Source organism: Homo sapiens, chromosome 10 (assembly GCF_000001405.40).
Source record: "Homo sapiens chromosome 10, GRCh38.p14 Primary Assembly".
Lineage (NCBI taxonomy): Eukaryota > Metazoa > Chordata > Mammalia > Primates > Hominidae > Homo > Homo sapiens.
In genome coordinates this window covers 46,313,815-46,332,446 of record NC_000010.11, presented here as the reverse complement: position 1 = coordinate 46,332,446, position 18,632 = coordinate 46,313,815, and the positions used below count along the sequence as shown (strand labels likewise).

General features: G+C 46.7%; 1 protein-coding gene across 19 annotated transcripts in view, besides 1 other annotated feature; it reads right to left on the bottom strand.

Moving 5' to 3' along the window:
* Window positions 1-2,317: 2,317 nt before the first annotated feature.
* Window positions 2,318-18,632, bottom strand: part of ANTXRL (ANTXR like) — a 44,038-nt gene continuing 27,723 nt past the window's right edge. For 17 of the 19 annotated variants that reach the window (XM_047424705.1, NM_001278688.3, XM_011539430.3 and 14 more), the window contains one exon: window positions 2,318-2,848. In XM_047424705.1, coding sequence (XP_047280661.1) covers window positions 2,363-2,848 — 486 coding nt within the window. In that variant the 3' untranslated portion in view covers window positions 2,318-2,362. Of the gene's footprint in view, window positions 2,849-7,115; window positions 7,228-18,632 lie in introns of all 19 variants that reach the window. The other 2 variants (XR_945612.2, XR_945614.2) reach the window with 1 other exon arrangement.
* Window positions 18,109-18,609: an enhancer, noted in NCBI's record as "H3K27ac hESC enhancer chr10:47685074-47685574 (GRCh37/hg19 assembly coordinates)". NCBI's record gives its function as "activates a minimal SCP1, AML or CMV promoter by ChIP-STARR-seq in primed H9 embryonic stem cells {active_cell/tissue: H9 hESC(primed)}" and the evidence as "EXISTENCE:reporter gene assay evidence [ECO:0000049][PMID:30033119]".

Sequence of the window (18,632 nt, the reverse complement as noted above, 5' to 3'; positions counted from 1 at the left end):
CACATACATTTCTTCCTATGGGGTCTCAGAGTTGCAGGGACGGGAAGCAACATCTTCATGTTTCCACATGGGTAACACAGAAGAAATAAAGTCTCTGTACACTTTCAGGTTATTTCAACTCCCTTTCTGCCTAATGAAAGCTTTCCCACACTTTTCCTGGTGTCATGAATACAGTGAACATTTTCTCCCTTAGTCTTGAGAGATACACAGTCCCAGGCACCTTGTAAAGTTGCCTTGGCTGCCCTGGGCACATTTGTATGTGGCTGTAGGCATTAGGCAGCTGGGCCAGACAGTCTAGAGCCAGAGGGTGCACTGTCTGGCTGGCTATCCCTTCCACACCTGCGGGCATGCATCCTACCTCTCTGGACCCTGTCTCATTGCGCTGCACACAGGCCATGCACCTGCTCACCAGGCACCAGGTGCCCTTGTCATAAATATCTCCACCTGTCTAGCAATGAAGTGGGAACGCTCAGTTCTTTGTGCAAATCTCTGTATTTACAGGACCAGAGGTGTTTTGTTTTGTGAAACAAAAACTCTCTAAAAAACAAAGCAAGACAACAAATTGATGAAGCCAGGCCTCCCATTCCAGGAAGAACGTTGAGAAGTGAAGTGTGGAGGGGCAGCATGTTCTCGAGTACCCACAGTTGCTCAGGGAATGAGCCTCCAAATGGGGAAAAACCAAATGACTAGGTCCCGTCCACCCCCAGGGGCTCTAGCATCCTCTTCCATTTCCTCAACATTGACCTGGCTCATTTCTCTGGATGCCTTGTGCAAGGCATTGTGTGCCTGGAAGAGCCTCTCATAACCAGCTTGGGAGATAGATGTGCAGACACAGAGGGGAGAGGCTGGGGAAGGGTGGGAGAGGCAGGCTTCCCATCATGGCAGCTGGCAGGACCCAGATGCAGAGTCCAGGCTGCAGCAGGACAGGAGGGTGCAAGACGGAGAAGGGGGACAAGAAAAAGTAACTCCTCAGGATGATGGCACTGAAGGTTAAAGTCATGTGACCTAGAGAAAGCCCCCCAAAGCCCTACACACAGAGGCAAGACATTGCGTTGAAGCCTTAAAACAAAGAAACGAACAAACAAACATGGGAGGGGGGACAGTGTGGTTATCACTGTCAAATTAGTCAATACTGTTTAAAATCCAAATCTGGTATATTTTTAACTTGTACTTGTCTTTCAGAATTTCTGTGGAAAAGCATCAATATTGCATTCCAGTAGATGGGGGAGGTGGAGAGCCGTTTATTTACTCTCAAAGATGGATTAGGGATGACTGGACAACCTCAGCCATAGCTCCCCTCTCCTGACTTGCTCAGGAGCCCCATGTGGGGTGCCCATGGCCTGTGTGGGTGGCACCTTGGGCAGTCATGCAGCCACCATGTGCCACAGTGGGCGGTGGGACACTGCCTGTTGACACTCATCTCTGTTGGGGCTGTGGTTTCTTCTATGGGGACAAATGATTAAGGAGGGAAGTTTACCTTTTCTCGTGAAATGAGGAGGATTCCCTGAAATTTGCCTGGTCTTGGGGATGGTGTGGGGTATCTGGGAAGATAATTAGCATTTCCAGAAAGGGCCTCACTGCCTTCTGGGACACATTCAGAATTTGAGTAGCCAAAAAATGGAAACCAGGGACAAGAAGATGAGTACAGGAAGTGAGATATGCAAGTATTTTTCCTTTCAAAAAGCTAGGGAGGGGCCGGGTGCTGTGGCTCACGCCTGTAATCCCAACACTTTGGGAGGCCGAGGTGGGTGGATCACCTGAGGTCAGGAATTTGAGACCAGCCTGACCAACATGGTGAAACCCCATTTTTACTAAAAATACAAAAATTAGCCAGGCATGGTGGCAGGCTCCTGTAATCCCAACTACTCGGGAGGCTGAGGCAGGAGAATCACTTGAACCCAGGACGTGGAGTTTGCCGTGAGTTGAGATCACACCATTGCACCCAGCCTGGGCCTGGGCGACAGAGCGAGACTCTGTCTCAAACAATAACAACAACAACAATAACAACAACAAAAAGCTAGGCAGGGATACACAGTATTGAATTCATATTTCAAACACTTTTTGAGCTTTTTAAATGGAGAATTTGGCCTAAGACCTCATGTGTCCCAGCCCTTGATGACAGATGAATTCGGGGCTGTTGGGAGTGGAATGCATCCATGCCTGGCATCCCGACGGCACCAGGGCACTGTGTCGTGGCAGGTGCAGTATAAATCCAGCTCACTCAAAAGACAAGCTCCCTGGTGTCAAACACAATCAACTTTAGTTGATCAGCAAGAATTCAACTCCTTTGACCGCAAGAAAAGACTCAATGTATATGTCCAGTTCAGCAACAAAAGCCTGTTAATCTTGGGTGTTTGGTGCCTTAGAAGTTGGGCTCTGAGGGGGGGAGTGACAAAGGGGGTTCTGCCGTGTGCCTGAGCAGTGGGGACAGCAGCGGCAGCATCCTGGAGGGAGGCCTCAAGCACCTAGCTGGGGGGAGGCGGCACCTGGAGGAGCAGGTGAGGGGGAGGCACTCCCGGCTGGGTTGAAGGCAGCTCTTTGGGTTGCACAGAGTCTGTGCTTGGGAAAAGTACTCCGGGCTGTGTCTCAGGCAGATCCTTGGGCTGCAGGGAGCCTGTTTGCGGGCAAGGCACTCCCTGCTGTGTTGGCTGTGTCTCAGGCAGATGTTTGGGCTGCAGCGAGCCTGTTTGAGGGCGAGGCACTCCCGGCTGTGTCTCAGGCACATCCTTGGGCTGCAGGGAGCCTGTGGTAGGGAAAGGCACTCCTGGCTGTGTGGAAAGCAGATCCTTGGGCAGCAGGGAGCCTGTGCATATTGGGACTGTGCAAGGGCTAAGCTGAGGTACCTCCCCTGTAGGGAAGAGAAGAGAGAGAAGGTCACCGTGATGGCATTCGAACTGGGCTCAGAAGGCTGCGGTTGCCTGGCTCAAAGGGATGGGGCCAGGACCCATCGGGACCCACAGGGTGGGCCTTGCTGTGCTCCTCCTCTCTCCCCTTGGTGCTGCCTCCAGCCTGGACTCCTCCTTCCAGACTCAGCTCCAGCGTTCAAAGTCCCCTCTTCCTCTCCAGGCAGCCTTGGGTCTCTGACTCTGGACTCCCTCAGCCCTCCAGTCGAAATTGTTTGCTTCCCCCTGGTAGCTAGGAGGAGGCCCCAATTACCTCTGTGCCCCAGCATGGCACAGAAGGCTCTAGTGAGCATGTGGAAGGGATGAGTGCTCACCACAGCCCTCAAGGCTGGCTCCAGGGACCCTTGGGTGGGTGATGAGCTGAGAAGGCAGCAGCTCCACGGTTCCCTTGGTTTGGGAAGAGGATGATCCAGACCCGTAGGAAGAGCAAACTCTGTTTTGCAGAAGCAGCTGCTTTGCTTTCATCTTGGGCACACACTAGTGTAGCCAGGCACCACCCACACAGCTGCAAGCCACACAGAGATTGTCTTTGTGTTCATCTGTGATGCCTTTCTCTCTGCTGGCTTCTTATGCTCATGATCGGGGCAACCCTGTCTGAAGACTTGATCAGGGCCTTTCAAAAAGGCCCTCAGGGTCACTATAAGTAAGGTCAAAGGGACTGGGGTTCAATCTAGCCTCTGACCTCAGGCAAGTCACTCAACCTCTTGGGAATGGCTTTCCCATCTCTTAAATGGGCCCAGCAATACCAAACACAGATTGGTCACCCCAAGTCCATTCTTCCTGTCTTCCTTACTAACGAAGCCTGCTTTTGTTAAGAAAGGCAATGTGGTGCAACAAACCACCACGGCACATATTTACCGATGTAACAAACCTGCACATCCTGCACATGTATCCCGGAACTTAAAATTAAAAAAAAAAAGAGAGAGGCAATGTGCTCAGTTGTAAAATGACCTTTTCCCAGTCTCCCTTGCTGAGCAACATGGCCATGTGAATGCATTCTGGCAATGGAGTATAAATAGGAATTGTTGGACATTGCTTTAAAGAAGGCTGCTTTCCCTTTTTCCTTCTTCTTCCTGCCTGTAATATGAGTGTGATGGCTGGAGCTCCAGAAGCCATCTTATAAGCATGAAAGCAAATTGAAAGCCTGGCCTTTTCAAGGAGAATTGTTAGGTTTCCCCAAGGCTGTTCTCTTGGGGCTTAGCAGGCAGGCAATTAGATAACAATCTTTCTCAGAGCTGCTCAGCTCTCCCATTTCTCAATTTGTATAGGCTGTCCTCTGTTTCTGGAATGTTCTTCCTAACCTTGTCTGCCCAGTGAACTGCTGCTCACCTTTTCAGACTCAGCTCCAGAGTGGCCTCCTCCAGGAAGCCCCTTATCCTTGCTCCCAGCTAAAGTGACCACCCTGCTTGGTATTTCCAGTCATGTCCTGGCAGAAAGCTGAGCCCATTGTGGGAAGTGCCCTGTCCTTCTAGATGTGCCTGTCCCTGCTCTGCAAGCATGAGGACTGTAACTGCATCCCCTTCAGCACCTGTGGCTGGAGGGCTGCAGCAGGATCCCAGGATGCCAGTGGGCATATGCTACTTTGCCTCGACCTCCCCATCTGTGATGTGGCGCTGATGATGCCCACATACCAGGGCAGGAGCAGCAGCCCATCAATGCTTGTGGTTTCCCTGGCGTGGGGCCTGTTCTGCTCCTTCTGTACTCAAGGCCACCCTTCCCGGCTGCCTGGAATCCCAGGGGTCTCCTGCCAGGCCAGTCTCAGCCTGATGGTCCCAAGGAAACGCTCCATTCCTCACAGGTGTTCCACAGACCATGCAGACTTTGAGCTTGCTTGAACCTGTCATTCATGCATAAAGCCTCCCCTTGGACATGTGAGTGACAAATGCCTCAAATGCTGGATTCCCCTACAGAGATGGTCTCTCTCTTACTGAGAGGGGCCCTTCTCCCATCTAGGCCCCGTCCTGTGACCTGCCCTCTCCTGCCCCTGCCCTGCTAGTCCCCATCCAGGATGATGCTGACTTTCCCCTTGTGCCCCCTCAGACCCTGTCCTGAGCCACCTGTGTCTGCAGCTGCCTGTCCACCCTCCTTCATGCCCGATTGGGCTCCTGCCACCTGTTCAGGGATTCAGGCTTCCTTCTTAGTACAATCCAAGTGTGTTAGCCTGCTCTCCCTGACTCCACCCATCCCCAAATCTAGTCCTCCCAGGACCATCTTCCCTCCCAGCTCACACCCTCCAGAGAAGCTCTGCACTGCTGGCAGGATCCAGTCCCTCCACCCAGCCTGCACGCCAGACCGTCCCCTGCCAGGTTCCTGGGGTCTCCATACCCTGCCTTCAGGCAATCACAGCCCAGCTACTAGAAGAGCTGGCCATGCCCTGGCACCCTCCCTCGCTCCTCTTGAGGGCTCTGCTCCTCACCTCTCCATGTTGCACGCCCAAGCCCAGCCATCCTGAGCCTCAGCTCTGGTGCTGCCTCTGACAAGCTGCCTTCCTTGAAGGGGAGCATCCTGGTCCCAAAGCCCCAGAGCACTAGAGCTGAATCTCTTTCTCTTTCTCCAGACAGCCTGTCTCTCTCCTTGCAGCACAGAGTTGGGGTCCCTTCACATAACAGCACCCTCACCCTGCCTGCCCCAGGTCACACACAAAGCTCAAGGCCGTACCCAGAGCAAGAGCGACCAGAGAGTCTATGGGCTTGGCCCAGACCTCCACCTGGAGGAACACGGATGTTTTCTCCACGTTTCCTTGGGGCTCAAGAAGGTTCAGCACTGTATTCCACCCACCACTGCCCTCCTGACCACAAGCCGACTGGACCCAGAGTGCAGGTCACTCCATCAGGATGTGCTGGACCACAGTCCAGGCCTCACAGAGGTGGCTTTGTCATGGGGGCTTGAAGCCCCACCTCACTCCTCCTGGGCACCACCCAGACTATAAGGCCCAGGCAAGATCTTGGCTTCTGGTCAGTGCTCTCCTCTGTCCACTCAGGCCTCAGCCCCCAACCTTTTTTCCTCTGAGCAATCCCTAGGGGCAGCCAAGGCCATTGTGCTCAAACCCTCTTCTGGCATGGTTAGAAGGCATGGCGGGAACCAGAAAGGATAATGCCACTCCCAGAAGGAGTTGGCCCCTCCTCCTGGCACTGCCACCCAGCCTGAGGGATCTGTGGGGATGTTGTGAGGGGCTGCCTCCGTTCATTTTTGTGGGAGGAGGAAGTGCCAGCTGTGGGGCTCAGGGGCCTGCTGACTGCTGTCCACTCATTTCTCCCTGCCTTCCATCATCCCTAACACCAGTGCTGGGTGAGGGCAGGGGTGAGTCACCCTGCCCAGCCCCTGTTCCTTCCTTTTATCCATCTCTACTCACAGCTATTCCTCTTTTTATCCATCTCTACTCACATACTATGAGTCCACTAACATTTTTAATAAATAACCCTTTTAGCATGAAGATGAAAAAAAAAAAAAACCCAGATGCCTTACAAAGAAAGACCTTCTGATCAGCCAGGCCTTCCTGTGATAAATACCTTTACTCCATGGCCTAAAACTGAGCTTAGAGCCACTGTAAAGGACTTCCCTAACCCAAGGGTGAAGGCTCAAGGGTTTACTGAGGAATTTCGAATGGCTCCCTGACCTTAACCAATTTATTCACATAATATTGGGGCCTGGTGAAGCTAAGAAATGGATGGCAGCAGCAGAATGGGGTGGACCTGAGGAGGATATTAAAGACCCTCAAAAACCCCTGCATGAGAAGAGGTAAAAGGAGCTAGAGAAAATGCTGAACACATTTTACATTCAGTTCCTAAGATTGTTCCAGAAAAAATTGATTGGTGCATCATCCAACCCTGCAGACCAAAGCAGGAGGAACCAGTTTCAGATTACAGAACTTGCTTAGAAACACTGTTTCTGAAATATTTTGTGCTCAAAATATAGCAAGGAGTATTTCCTTCAGAGACTGGAATGGCATTAACTGCTGTATTTACAAATGAGCTCCGTCCTGAACTTGGCAGTTCAATTAAAACCCATAAGCCAGGATGGAAAGTTACAGACATGACTGAATTGGTGGCCTTAGCTGAACATTTTGAGAAGACTCTAGAGCAAGAAAAAACCCAAAAGGCTAACAATCTTATGCCTCTCCAATTACACCAGTTACAGGGGCCAAGACCAAAGGGACCTTCTCATTTTTATTTTAAATCACAAGCAAGAGGTGCAGAATAAGGAATTCCTTACCCCAAGGTAGATGCCTTCATTGCAAACACCCAGGACACTGGGAAAGGAGATTGTTGACTTTTGTCTCAGTCTACCACCAAGGCTCCTCCCTTTAGGCTGGACTGGTTCACCACTAGAGGGGACCCAAGAGATTTTAATGCTCAGAATAATAAAAATAGACAGGGCTCAGGGATTCTCTAGTAAACTCTCCCCAAAACACCCTTAAATAAACATAGAAAAACAAGATGTAAGCTGGGAATCCTGTGCAATGCTGGTGTATACCAGGGTCGCCTTATCCAGCATAAACCCTACTTTAAAAAGCCAACAAATCTCTTGGCGTGAAAGGATCATCTCTGTGGTGAGGGTTTCGAATCAAGTTCAAGAGGCTTCCATATCTGAACCCGCCTAATCAACTTGAGGATATTTGCAAGAAAATATACCTTTCTACTATGTAACAGTGATCCAGTAAACTTGCCAGGGTAGGACTTTCAGAGTTGAAAGGACACATACAATTCTCCTCAGAGGGAGAAGCAATCGTAGAGTTTCCTGACTCTCCTGAACCAGAATGGTTATGCTCTCTACAGACAAATCGATAAGATCAAAACTCAGGCCCATAATGAAACACCTTTCTAAAACACCTGAATATTTATGGGTCTCTTCCTCAAATGATAGAGAAATAATTAAAAGTGCGGCGTCTATAAAGGTCCAAACTGGTTATTCTAAGTCTTTCCTAAATTACTCCAATATACGCTAAAACCTAATGAAATTAAAGGGCTCTCAACAATTGTAGGAGATTTAACTAAACTAGGATTTAGAATTCCATGTACCAGTCCTTGTTAACACTTCCATCCTACCAGTTAAAAAGCCAAATGGATGAGGTTGAAGATTTGTTCAAGATCTACAGCTAATTAATAAGATTATAATACCAAGATTTCCCATAGTCCAAAATTCAAATACTTTATTACCTAACGTACCCACTGATTTAAAGTGGTTCATGGTAATAGACCTCTGCTCAGCCTTCTTTAGCATTCCGGTTCATAAAGAGAGTCAACATTTGTTTGCTTTTACTCAGAAAAATCAGCAGTACACCTGGCCTTTTCTATTTTTCCCAGGCATTGCCTCAGTACTTAATAACCCTACAGTCTTCTGGACATTCTACTGTTACTCAGTATGTAGATTACCTGTTATGCTCTCCCACTCAACAGTGCTCTGAAATTGGCTCAATTTACCTTCTATAGCAACTCACACATAAAGGTCACAAGGCCTTGATGGAAAAACTTCAATTTTCAAGAGAAATATTTCACTATTTGGGACATGACCTGACTGCTGAAGGGATTTCCCTTTCACCTGGGAGAATTCAAAACTATTCAACATTTTCCTTGGCCTGGAACCAAAAGACATTTAAGAGGTTTTCTTGGACTCACAGGATATTGAGGATCCTGGGTTGCAAATTTTCCCTTAATTGCCTCACCATTGTTTTAGCTCACTAGAAATGCAGTATGGGAATCTTTACCTCGGAAAGACAGTCCAGGCTTTTAACCATGAAACTGGCCTTATGACAGCCTCCAGCTTTAGGACTTCCAAACTACACTAAACCTTTTACCTTGGTTGTTCATGAACACAACAATCAGGTATTAGAAGTTCCTACTCAAGAACATGGGGGAAACATAGGCCCACTGCATATTCCAGTCTGCAATTAGACCCAGTAGTTAGGGAATATTCTAATCATTTAAAAGCAGATGTAGCAGCAGCCAAGTTGGAAGCTTCATCCGAGCTTGTTTTAGGGAATGAACTCAATTCACAAGTCCAACATGCTGTGAAAAGTCTATTAAGTTTCAACCAAACACAGCATTTTTCAGCAAGCCATCTAGCATCTTATGAAATTCTTCCCGATGTCTTCTAATCTCCATCTAAAATGCTGCAACCTACTTAACGCTGCTATTGTATTAACTCTTCCTGACTCTGGTGATGACCACAATTGTGTAAGTGCAGTATTGGAAATAGTGGCCTCTTGCGTTAATTTACGAGACAGTACATTGGCTAATCCTGAGTTATTATTTTTTTGTTCATAGGTCCTATGCCAAAAACTCAAAAGAAAATATCAGGCAGGATATGCCATTACCACCCAAAATGAGCTAATAGAGGAGGGAATTCTTCCTCAACTTAAGTCAGCTCAAACCACAGGCTTTTTGCTCTCACCCAAGTCTGTCCTATAGCTAAGGACAAGTCAGTAAATATTTACACAAATAGAAGACATACTTTTGGAGTAGTACACAATTTTGGCATTTATGGAAACAACAAAGGGTTTCTTACTTCTAGTGGGATCCTCATTAAATAAACGGACTCCAAATAGATAAACTCCTTTCTGCTACCTGGTTACCATCAGAGATGGCCATTATTAAGATTGAAGCTCATACCTGTAAAACTGAACCTGAATATAAAAGGAATGCTCTAGAAGGTATTTATGCCAAATCAGCTAGTGCTGAAACTATTAGGATATACGATTTAAATTAACTCCATAAGATTGATCCAAGTCAATTCTCTCATGATGACCTACTCAGTAAACACTGCAATGCACTTGATTTGGAAAAACAAATTTGGTATCTAAAGGATGTAAATTCAATGTTAAGCATAGACTCACAGAGGGCTCAGATGGCTGCCTGGCCCTTCCTGAGTCTTTGAAGCTTCTACTATTAAAAGCTCTGCATCCCACAACTTGTCCTGAAACAGAATCCATGTTATGAAGAAATACTGGTGGGATGACTGTTTCAAAGTTGCTAAAATGGTTTATAATCAATGTTTGGTTTATCAAACTCATAATCCTGGGAAAACAATAAAAACTTCAGGTAGTATATTTTCACCACTTGATGGGCAATTTCTTTTTTTTTTTTTTTTGAGATGGAGTCTCACTTTGTCACCCAGGCTGGAGTGCAGTGGTGCAATCTCGGCTCACTGCAACCTCTGCCTCCCAGGTTCAAGTGATTCTCCTGCCTCAGCCTCCCAAGTAGCTGGGACTACAGGCATACGCCACCACACCTGGCTAATTTTTTATATTTTTAATGGAGATGGGGTTTCACCATATGGCCAGGCTGGTCTCAAACTCCTGACCTTGTGATCCACCTTCCTTTTGGACACTTACAGATGGACTTCCTTCAGTTGCCAACCTCAACGGGGTATCAGTATGTCCCTGTAGCAGTTTGTATGTTTTCTGGTTGAGTAAAGGCTTTCCCATGTGGGAAAGCTGATTCAATGACAATAGCCAAGAAATTATCAGAAAATGTGTTTCCTTCTGGCGACTCGCTGGAGAAATCTCCAGCAATAAGGAAACTCATTTTACTGTGCAAGTTATAAAGCACTTAAGATATTATGGACATGATGGCACTATCATTGTCCTTAGCCCTCTGTCTTCTGGAAAAGTTGAAAGAACAAATGACATCTTAAAACTCAAATTGACAAAGTTAACTGAGTCAATTGGGTTGCCTTGGCCAAAGGTACTATCATTGGCTTTGATGATAATCAGATACGCTCCTACTGGAAAACATAAGTTGATACCTTACGAAATAGTCACTGGAAAGCATATGCCCCTAGTAACAGAACCGCATGCCTCTCCCACTCTCCTAAACTCTGATATGCTTAAACTTGGTAGGCTTTAATGCATTATGTCAAAGTGTATTCTCACCAGGTAAAGGAAGCTTTTTATGATGCACTGACTGAGGATAATCAAACCTTTCATGGTGTAGAATCTGTAGCTTGGGTCTTCTGGAAATTATGTCAGAGGAAAATTGCTTTGAACCTCATTGGAAGGGACCATACCGAGTCCTTGTCACCACCCACACTGCAGTGAGGCTTCAGGGCCTTGGACCTTGGGTCTGCATTTCACAACTCAGAAAGGCCCCTTCAGACTCTTGGGACTGTATATATATTGCAGACTTTCAGGTAAACCTGATGAGAGAAATTTCTCCCCAGAAGCAGACAACATCCTAGAAATGGACAACTTTTCAAAGATCATAAATTAAGATTTCTCTGACATCATGGAAAACTTAAGTTTTTGTCTTTTCCCCTCATCTCCTGCTGTCCTAATCCTTTCCTTTTCTCTACAGGAAAATTCATGGGACCATAATCAGTGGATGGCTTTAGCTCAAGCTTCTGCTCCAGCATAAAACCCGAGCAATTGGGTTTGTGGGCTAAAACCAAAAAAATGAAGAAACAATTCCATTAATGCCAGTGTCTACGTTCCCAAAGAGAATCACCTTGAAACTCCAAAGGATGAGTGGAAAGTTGTCCTTGATACACTAAACATAATTGCTACTTTCTTTCCTGCACTTGCTAGAAACAACACTCTAACATTTCCAATTAATAACCTGATTGTTACCAAATATACAAAACCTATTCAAGTGATACCTGCAAAAGGTATATTTGGCTTCCAGGCACTAGTCTCTCAAGACCTGGGAATTATCTACGTGGGTACAAGTAATTGCTTGTATAATGTCACCAGATTAAATTCAGTAGGGTACTTTTTAAAAACTAAATGTGGTTATATACCTTTACAACATATTATAAGGGAGGTACAAAAAAGCAAACTTCCTTTTATGCAGACTGATGGGCAAACAATTTTTTTTTTGAGACAAAGACTCCCTGTGTACCCCATGCTGGAGTGCAGTGGCATGATCTTGGTTCACTGCAACCTCTGCCTCCTGGGTTCAAGTAATTCTCATGCCTCAGTCTCCCAAGAAGCTGGAATTACAGGCATGTGCCACCACACCCAGATAATTTTTGTATTTTTAGTAGAGATGGGGTTTTGCCATGTTGGCCAGGCTGGTCTCAAACTCCTGGACTCAAGCAATATGCCCACCTAGGCCTCCCAAAGTGTTGGGATTACAGGAGTGAGTCACTGCACCCGGCCATGGGTGAACAATTGTAACAAACCCTTGCTCAAATACAACTAAATGGACACTTCTCCAACCCCTAAGGGCCTATATTGGGTCAGTAGAGAATGTGCTTATTCCATTATGCTGAACTCCTGGGAGGTCTGTCTGGCTACAAAATTTAAGAATTTTCCCAATTTAATGATTAGCTCTAAATTTCATACAGTGGGTTCCCCACTACCAGCAAGAGTGAGCCCCCAGGAAACCAACTGAAATCTTTACTCAGTAGAAACTAGCTTCTCTTTGTCTGTTTCAAAGTTGGTGCTAACTTCAGTTATTGACTGTTTTTGCTTCTGATCACAGGACCTATCATGGGAACTTTCATGGGAAGGTATTTGAAAGGCAGGAGTTAGCCATATCAAATAGCCAGATGTGAACCATGAGTAAAAGCCATACTCCAAAAGAGAGGTGATGACATATACATTCACATGGAACATCATGCAGCTTCACATCTCCTTTTTGCTACAGTTGAGGGCTTGTGTTTGGTATTGAACACAAGTGAATGTTACACCTATCTCTCCTCTGATTTTGTTACTACAGAAAGTTTAATTTAAAAGGTGGCTGGCTGGTATTACTGTTTTCTTAGACTCTGCCACCAAATACATTAAGAAAATCTCTCAAGAGAAAGGAACACATAATGTGTTTATGGGAGCAACTGACAGTTGGTTTGCAGGCATCCTAAATGGTGGATGACAAACTTGGGTTTTCTAATCTTTATATTTATTCTAGCGACTTTCCAGGCTATCATGCTTGTGTTACCAGGCTAACAACAAAGATGAATGCCTCTACAAATCAGGCCATTTTACAGTGAATTATGGCCTGTACACCCTGAACAAAGACTATGACTAATCAACTTAAACACTGTTGAGCTGCCTAGACTGCCTGAACCTTGACTTGATTGATTTGGGTCAGTTTGCTTCATAAGAAACATTGTTAAGGAGTTCACTTTGGTCTTTTGATATCATCCTCTTTGTAGTCATCCTAATAGTCCCCGTGGTCCACTGAACCCTCTAAAATCTTCGATGTGTTGTATGCAACCATCCATTGAGCATAAGTGGTCTCACTTCTACTAAGTCAGCAAGAGCATACAAAAGTATTGAAGTGGCATGATGTTGTGACTTGTGAATTCCATACTGAGATCAAGTAACTCATTTTTGATGGTGACAGAGAGTGGCATCAATGCCCAAAGTTTTGGTCAACCTCCCCAAATTGAGAGGCCACTCAAAAGAGTGAAATTGTTAAATAAAACTAAATTTTGGTCTGAGAAAGCCTCCATACTCACATACTTGAGTTCTCACATATGAACCACAGCCTAACTCAGTACATAAACAAACTGAAAACCCAACTGCGGAGTATACTTCTATAATGGGAGCTGAGCCTTGGCCATTCACAGCAGCCACACTTCAGCCACTCACAGCAGCCAACTGTTGAAATGAGGACACACAGAGCTGTTGCCAATTCAGCTGTTACTGTACCTCAGTTCCGTTTTCTCTATGTCGTTTTCCCTTTTCTGTTCCAAAATCTTATCTGACCCTGTGGTAGCCCTGGAAACTCTCTGAGTCTGTCCTGATTCTGAGGGCTGCCCTATTTGGAATCATGTTTTGTTTTTTCTGCTCAATTCAACTCCGTTACATTTAATTTGCCTGATGTTTTTCTTTTGACATATGTTAAACAATCCTTAAACATCCATAAGTGCACTTGAGCTCACCTGCATACACACTGTCAGTACCAGGGGCTATCACCACAATTATATACTCTATTTATTGTTTGCTCGATTTGGGGCCATTATTTTGTCAGCCTCTTGTTTTTCATTATTTTAATTTTTGGAGCTTAATGTTTAACATTGGATAAGGCAAGTCTTCTCTCACTGCTTTTCTGTATTAAAAATTTCTTAATGATTCTTAACTGTCTATTTTTTTCGAGTGAACTTGTCGTTTTGATCAAATTCCCTAAAAATGTTTCATTACAATTTTCACTAAAATAACATAGCAAGCTCATGAATTCCTCTGGGAAAAGTTGACATTGTGCTCTAGATTCTTATATTTTCAAATTTCTCTTGTACCAATAAGTAAAGTTTTATAGTTTCTTTTCATCATGGGTCAGCATATTTGTGTTACACTTATATATGGGTATTTTGTTTTTTATTGCTATTGTAAAGAGAAAGGAATCTTTCATGTTTATTTCCACCTCCTTTGTTTCTACTTATTTATTGCAAAACATTCCAGTAAAAACTTACCACAATCATTCCAGACCTAGTGTTTACCCACTGCTGAGGGATCCTCCGGAGCAGGACCCCGGGCACTAACACTGAGGCCACCTCCCCTCCTCTGCCCCAGTCTATCCCAGGAGATCCAGGGAGCTCTGAGGTATGGGTCTACACTTGCACTGATGAAGAGGAGCAGGGTTGGGGTGCCTCACAGTAGAGGAGACCTCCAGGTGGCTGCCCCCTGAATCTGTGGGGTAAGTGTAAGGTGGTGAGGAGGTTCCTGGAGTTTGAGAGGGTCTCCTTCCTCACTGCCTCTCTACTGATTGCAGATATCTAAGCCAGCAACTAATTACTTCTCACATCAGCTCAACCACTCTAAGGTAAAGGGACATTTCCTGAAGTGATTGGCAAACAATCAGAAACCTTAATTGCCAGTGCTTTGGAGTTTTGGCTCAATCTTTGTATTTCCCGATTATGTTACAGAAATGTGTGTGTGTGTGTGTGCATGTGTTTTGGGGTTGGAGGGGTGGTGCTGAGGAGTCGAAGGGAAGGCTCTCTGTAATTGCAATACCAAAGTTATGATCTGAAACTTTCCCAAAAAGCACTGGCTTCAAGAACAGCTGCAAGCTGGGATTCCTGGACAGTTGGAGGCCACAGCCAGCCTGGCTTTGCCACCCCTGTCCCTTGGTCTAGTGCCCTCCACGGGCATATGGCCAGGAGGAGAACTCAGGAGCTCCATGGTCATGAATGCATCCTAAGGCCCGTCTGCATTAAGCTCCAATTGTTACCCAGAACAACTATCCCAGCAAACATGAGTACGAATTTAGAAGGAGGTCTGCAAGTGACAGTGTGAAATCAAGATATTAATATTCACAAATGTATCATGTGTAAATTTCAGTAAATTCTCATTAGAAGCTGTTGATAGTTTCTTGGAAATCATGACTTCCAGTGAAACAGTGTACAAGAAAACAGACTGGATCATAGATTAATTGATATTAGTAAATTAAGGTCCTGTGGCATATATCTAGTCATGAAGGCATCATCAAACTTCTAAATAAAAACCAAAATGCTTCTAATATTAAACATTGAAATAAATGTGAGCTATACACACCTTTAAGAAAAGTTAATAAAAGCAAATAACATAATTATTTACTCAGTTATTCCAGCTTAGGGTCGCAGGAGGCTGGAGCCTATCCCAGCAGCTCAGGGTGCAAGGTGGGAACTAACCCTGGACAGGATGTCATGTCCTTGCAGTGTGCACTCACATGCCCACACACTCACACAGCACCCATAGAGACACGCCAATCCACCTGATGTGCACATCTCTGGGATGTAAGCAGAAACTGAAGTACCCAGAAAAATTCCCTGCAGCCATAGCAACAACATGCAAACTCCACACAGACATTGGCCTCAGCTGGGAATGGATTTTTTTCTGATCAGCATCATCATTTCTCACTCGGTGTTCAGATGACGTTGAATGAAACGTTATTTGAGGACCTGCCGTGTGACATTTTGCACTGTAGAGAGATGCACTTGCAGGTGTTCCATAGATCACTCTGACAGCAGGACATGGGGTGGAACCTGACTCAGACATGAGCCTCCCCTCAGGTCAGTTCATAACCCGGCTCTACCACTCAACAACCCTGCCATGTTGAGCCCATCACTAAACATCAGAGCTTCGGTGTCCACAGCTCTGAAATGCAGACAGTAGTGACTACCTTGCAGGACAGAGAGGTGGCCATGCACACAGTAAGGACCTGGAGCCAGGTTGTTGGATGCTGGTCCTATTGCTTCCTGGCTGTGTGACCCTGGGTGGGTTACCTAACTTTGTAGGGCCTCTAGCTTCCTCCCCACAATAGAGTTATGGCATATATTAGTTTGTGGAATGTAGTTGCAACAGTGTCTGGCCCACCTTAAGATCTATATGAATGGCAGCTATGAGCCTTCCTGGGTGTTGTGAGAATGAAATGAGATCCAGTTTCTAAAGGGCCTCCTGCTGTGGTGCGCACACGAATTAAACTCACTGGAAAGGCTGTTATATCATTGTGGGCACTATATTTGGTGACAGAGAGTAAGGTTTCACACTATTAGCCTGACTTTCCTGATGGATCGAGTGATATTGTTTCCCATTAACATAATGAGTATCCACAGGATAAGGTGAAGGAGAATCCTCAGCATGGATGGGAGGTAGAGTTTGGCTCAAGAGACTCGGAGTTGTGCTGCTTCATTTTGTATAAGTGTGTAGTGGGGATGGCCTGGAAGAGGACACTATCAAAAAATTTATTCAGGGAACTGAAGGTGATGGAGCAGGGAGACACACTCAATTTAAAACAAAAATTGAAATTAAACAAGACTGACTGCTTTTGCCACAAAAATGCTGAGGTTTTTGGTAAACTGAGCCTTGGAGAATTTCCTGCATTATTATGTGCCAAAATGCAAAAATGTTTGGATTTGCTGAAACAATAAACTAAACAAGGTTTTAAAAGGCAGCAGCTCCTCTAAATTCGACAGCACATTCCAGTCAAACAGGCTCATCAACTTCCCGAGCTTATCACACTCCCCAGGTCAGCCCACAATGCCAAGTCAGGAAGAAGAGTTTGGAAATAGCCTCCTCACAAGGCCGGGCATGGGTGGAGAAAGAGGCATGCACTGGTTCTGTCAGGATCCCCCAACCTGCTGAGGGCCTGAGTGAATCCCTGTCTGAGGGGAGATCCTGGAAGAGGGGTGTGCAGCACACAGGTGGCCTCTTCACTCTGCAGTGAAGAGACAGACAGCCTATGCCTGTCCTGGCAGGACGTCTCACTGATGCCTCCACAGCCGTGCGGTTGCAGTTGGGCTGCCTGGCTGGGGCCGAGCCACCCATCCAAGCCTGGTCTCCAGCGGGTTCTCACTGAGATGCACTCTCTCTCCTCCAGCCTCAGGGCTGCTTCTCACTCAGGGACCCCTGGCTCAGGCAGGAAGGTCACATTCCCAGTGTCTCTGAGCAGGAAGCTGCTGAGCTCACCAGCAGCCTGGCTGGTGTCTGGCTCTGTACACTCATGACTAGGCTTACAGTCTGACCCTGTGGCTCTGAAACGGGCTGAAGGTCTTAAGGGGATGCATCCTCTTTAGTGCATGATTCATGTTAGACCCTAGGGCCAGCACACCGAAGGCTTAAAGAGGAGAACGGGGAACTCCTGCCAGATTGTCTGAATTCTTGGGTATCCGACAGAAATCTTACAAGACACTCAGTCGGGTGTTCAGGACTATAGTTGGGAAGCACAAGGTCAAATTAGGTTGTCGCAGAAGAGCTAGAAAGGAGCCTAGGTCTACAAGCCACAGCTATGGGCCTCCCTGGGTTAGGGACAGATCTGGGGTTGATTTCTGATAGCCTGGAGGCAGCCACTTACTATCTGGGTGGCCTTAGGCAACTCTCTGGGCCACTCTGGGCCTCTATTTTGCCATTAGTAAAACAGGGATTGTCTCTCCTTTTCCAAGAATCGCAAGGTGGACTTCACATGATGACAGTGGCAAGGGCCTGGCAGAGCCCTGAGCAGTGGTAAGTGCCCTCTGTAATGCAATTACTCTGCCCCCCACCACCCCACCCCTAAACCTTAGCTTCAAAGAGCTGCCCTTGGGAATGAGACAATTTCAGCGACTTGCTCCATCCCCTGTCTCACCACACTGGACAGTAAGGCCATTTCTGGCCCTTTCCCACGCCAACCTTCCCACCTCTTGCCTTTCCTCTGCTTGAGGTGCCTGTTTTCACACTCGGCCGTCAAGCTCTATCCCTCCTAAGTGTCTCACCTGTTCAGTGCATAAGGCTGGACTAGTGCCATGTGACCGGAACTGGGCTGTAGCAACGTGGAGAGGCCTTATGGGACCTCGGATGGAAAGTGGGCTTCTGTGCAAGCATGGCTGGGATTGAGAGCCCTGTGCAGAGGCACAGAGCCAGGAGCCCAGCGGCTGGAGGAGCCCTGCATGCCTCTGACACCAGCAGTGCCCTGCCAGGTGTCAGCACGCCTCCCAGGGGCTCCCGGCCCATTTCTTATCAGCAGCATCCAGAGGCTTGCAGCCTGCAAGGCCTTGTCCATGCACAGCCACCTGGCCACTGAGAACCTATGCTGGCCTGATGCAGGAGGTCTGGCCAGTGCAGGTCCCTCTATAAACCCTGGTGATGAAATCATCTTCCAGGTGCAAAGGGCTGGACTGTGGGAGGCACAGGCAGATGAGTCCCAGGCCGAGCCAGAAGCAGGGCTCTCCAGGGCCCCAGGGCCTAAGCAGAGAAGCCCCTTGGTGCTGATCCAAAAGGAGAGCAGTGCAGAGTAAGGGCAGGAGTCAGCCCAGTTCACATCCAGCCCTATCACTCGTGGGCTTTAGGAGCAGGGACATGCTACTTAATATCTCAGCACTTTTGTCCCCTTCACC